General features: G+C 34.6%; 1 pseudogene; it reads left to right on the forward strand.

The window, feature by feature from the left end:
• PSMD14P1 (PSMD14 pseudogene 1) lies at nt 549-1721 on the forward strand (annotated as a pseudogene).

A 4093-nucleotide genomic window follows, 5' to 3' on the forward strand; every position in this document is an offset into this window, starting at 1 on the left:
AAATCAAGGAGACCCAGGCAACTCTTTTGAATGGAATTGGGCTGATTCATCTCTGGTTTGTGGAACAAGAACTAGGTTAAGTCTCAGCCACTGTAACTGCTGCCTCTGTCTTCGCTTCACCGCAGAGGCAAGACAAAGGTCCGGACTGCGGCGTTGCTCACCTGTTGGCCTTCTGGAGAGTCACATCACACGAGAAAATTAAACCTGCCAGAATTAGCAAGAGCTTTCGTTAAGAAGAAATTTGTCGGCCAGGCACGGTGGCTCACGCCTGTAATCCCAGCACTTTGGGAGGCCAAGGTGGGCGGATCACGAGGTCAGGAGATTGAGACCATCCTGGCTAAAACAGTGAAACCCCATCTCTACTAAAAATACAAAAAATTAGGTGGGCGTGGTGGCGGGCGCCTGTAGTCCCAGCTACTCGGGAGGCTGAGGCAGGAGAATGGCGTGAACCCGGGAGGCGGAGCTTGCAGTGAGCCGAGATGGCGCCACTGCACTCCAGCCTGGGCGACAGAGCAAGACTCCGTCTCAAAAAAAAAAAAAAAAAAAAAAGAAGAAATTTGTCAACCAAGAAATTGAAGCTGAATGCCTTAATAATTGTAGTTACTGACCAGAAGTATAGGAAGACTTCTTAGACTCGGAGAAGATATGCCTGGACTGGGTCGTGGCCACCTACAGATGCTCCTGCAGTGGAAACAGCAGAAAAAGTCTATATTTCTTCCCTGGCACTGTTAAAAATGTTAAAGCACGGAGATGCTGGAGTTCCAATGGAAGTTACGGGTCTGAAGCTTGGAGAATTTGTTGATTATTATACCATCAGAGTGATTGACATGTTGGCTATGCCATAGGTGTCAGTGTGGAGGCATTTGATCTAATGTTCCAAGCTAAAACGTGAATATATTGAATCAGACAGGAAAGCCTGAGATGGTTACTGGTTGTCATCACAGTCACTTGGCTTGGTTGCTGGGGTTTCTGGGGTGGATATCAGTACTCAGCCGAGTTTTGAAGGCTTGTCAGAGGGAGCTTTGACGGTGGTTGTGGATTCCATTCGGAGTGTAAAAGGGAAGGTTGTTAGTGATGCCTTCAGGTTAATCAATGCTAATATGATGGTCTTGGTACATGAACCAAGACTAACAACTTCAAATATGAGTCACTTAAACAAGCCATCTATCCAGGCAATAATTGATGGATGAAACAGACATTATTACTCTATTACTGTTAACTATCAGAAAAATAAACTGGAATAGAAGATGTTGCTAAATTTGCATAAGAAGAGTTGAATGGAAGGTTTGACACTTCAGGATTACAATGAACATTATAAATGCAATGATTTAGTATTAAAATAGATGCTGGAATTGGCCAAGAATTACAAAAAGGCTGTAGATGAAGAAGATGAGATGACACCTAAACAGCTGGCAATAGGGTGTTGGCTAGCAGAACACTAATGTCACTTGGAGGAACAAGTGGATTTAGTCATGACTTCAAATATTGTTTAGCAACTATGTTGAATACTGTTGTATTTAAGTGAAGCAACAAAAGATTTATTAGTGATGATTTCAGTAGACATTTCTCTGTTGTTCCTAATGCTCAAAGTTAAGGGATGTATTTGGTTAAATGTAAGACATTTGGCATCATTTGTAGCACTGTAACCTTCAGTCTCACCTATGCAATTACTTTTGTTTCTTTAGTTAGGGTCTTTGCAGGTTCTAAAGTTATACAATAATTCATAAAAGTGGACACATTTTGTTAATATCCCATTTAATATTTGAAAAAATCAGTAGTACAATATATTTTGATTGTTGCTTACAAAATAAAATACATTTACAATTTGAAAAATAAAGTCAGTTGGTAGTAGATGTGTGGATTTATTTCTGGGCTATTTTGTTCTGTTGATCTATGAGTCTGTTTCTATATCGATACCATGCTGTTTGGTTACCATAGCTTTGTAGTATATTTTGAAATCAGGTAGTGCAATGCTTCAAGCTTTGTTTTTGTATGTTTGTCTTTTTAAAAAAAAACAACAACACAAGATTATTTTGATTATTCAGGGTCTTTTTTAGTTCCATATGCATTTTAAGAGTTTAAAAAATATATTTCTGTGAGGAATGTCATTAGTAGTTGATAGACATGGTATTGAACATACAAATCACTTTGGCTGGTATGGACATTTTAACAATATTAATACTTCTAATTCATAAACAAAGTATTTTTTTACTATTCGTTTCCTCTTCGGTTTCTTTTATCAGTGTTCTACAGTTTTCATGTAGAGATCTTTCACTTCCTTGGTTAAATTTATTTCTAGGTATCTTTTTTCTTTTGTAACTATTGGATTTTTTTTCATTTTTTTTCTAGATTGATCACTGTTAGTTTATAAAAATTCTACTGATGTTGTGTGTTGATTTGTATCCTGCAATTTCACTGAATAAGTTTATTAGCTAAGAAATTTTTGTGGAGTCTTTGGGTGCTTCTAAATATAAGATTATATCATCTGCAAAAAAAAAAAAAAGAGAGAGAATAATTTGACTTATTCCTTTCCAGCTTGGATGCCCTTTATTTCTTCCTCTGGCCTAATTTTTCTGTCTACGACTTCTGGTATTGTGTTGAATAGAGTTGATGAAAGTGGACATCCTTGTCTTGTTTCAGACCTTAGGGGAAAGGCTTACAAATTTTTACCATTTCATATAATATGACCTGAGGTTTTCTCATATATGATCTTTATTGTGTTGAGGTACATAGTTTCTATACCTAATTTGTTGAGAGCTTTTGTTATGAAAGAATGTTGAATTTTGAAAAGTGCTTCCTCCGCTTCTATTGACATGATCATAAGTTTTTATCCTTCATTCTGTTAATGTGATGTATCACATTTGTTAATTTGCATATGTTAAGCCGACCTTACATTTCTGGAATAAATCTCACTTGATAATAAGCGAATGATCTTTTTAATGTGTTGTTGAATTCATTTTACTCATATTTATTTTGAGAATTTTTGCATTTATGTTTTCTTTTCTTCTTGTATCCTTGTCTAATTTTGATAGCATTGTAATGTTGGACTTGGTGGTTTCTTCAGATCTGCATTTTCTATTTTTTCATAAGTCCATCATGGTAGGTTGTATGTGTCCAGGAATTTATCCATTTCTTTTAGGGTTTCCAATTTTTCAGACAGTAATTGTTCATAATATTCTATTATGATTTTTTGTATTTCTGTGGTAAGAGTTTTAATGTTACCTTTTTCTTCCTTGATTTCATTTGAGTCATTTCTGTTTTTTTCGTCTTCTAACTAAAGGTTTTTTCCATTTTGTTTATTTTTTTAAACTAACTCTTGTTAATATTTTGTACTGCTTTTTAGTCTCGATTTCATTTATTTGTTCTCTGATCTTTACAGTTTCTTTTCTTTTATTAATTTTGTATTTAATCTGCTTTTATTTTTGTATTTCCTTGAGTAATGATGCTAAATATTTTATTTGTGATCTTTCTACTTTTTTGATATAGGTGTTTATTGCTATACCTTTCCTCTTACAACTATTTTGCTGTACTCTATAAGTTTGGTTGGTATATTGTATTTTCATCTGTGTTTGTCTCAAGAAACTTGAATTTCTCTTTTAATTTCTTTATTGAACCATGGGTTTTCAGTAGAATGTTGTTTAATTTCTATGTATTGTAAAATTTCTGAAGTTTCTTCTGTTATTGATTTCTAATTTTATACCATTGAGGTCAGAAAATACTTGATGTAATCTTTATCTCCTTGACTCTGTAAAGACTTTTTTTTGGCTTAGTATATAATCTATCCTGGATAATGTACTATGTTAGCTGAGAAGAATGTGTATTCTACAGCTGTTGGATAGATTGTTCTGTAAATGTCAATTAGGCCCATTTGGTGCAGAGGGCAGTTTAAGTTTGATGTTTCTTTGTTGATTTCCTGTCTAGATGATCTGTCCATTGTTGAAAATGGGGTGTTGAAATCCCCTATTATCATTATATTGAGGTTCATCACTCCCTTTAAATCTAATAACATTTTCTTTATATAGTTGGCTGTTCTGGTGTTGTGTGGATATCTATTTACAAATGTTATATTATCTTGCTGAATAAATCCACTTAT

The sequence above is a fragment of the Homo sapiens genome, chromosome 2 (assembly GCF_000001405.40).
Source record: "Homo sapiens chromosome 2, GRCh38.p14 Primary Assembly".
NCBI classification, from domain to species: domain Eukaryota; kingdom Metazoa; phylum Chordata; class Mammalia; order Primates; family Hominidae; genus Homo; species Homo sapiens.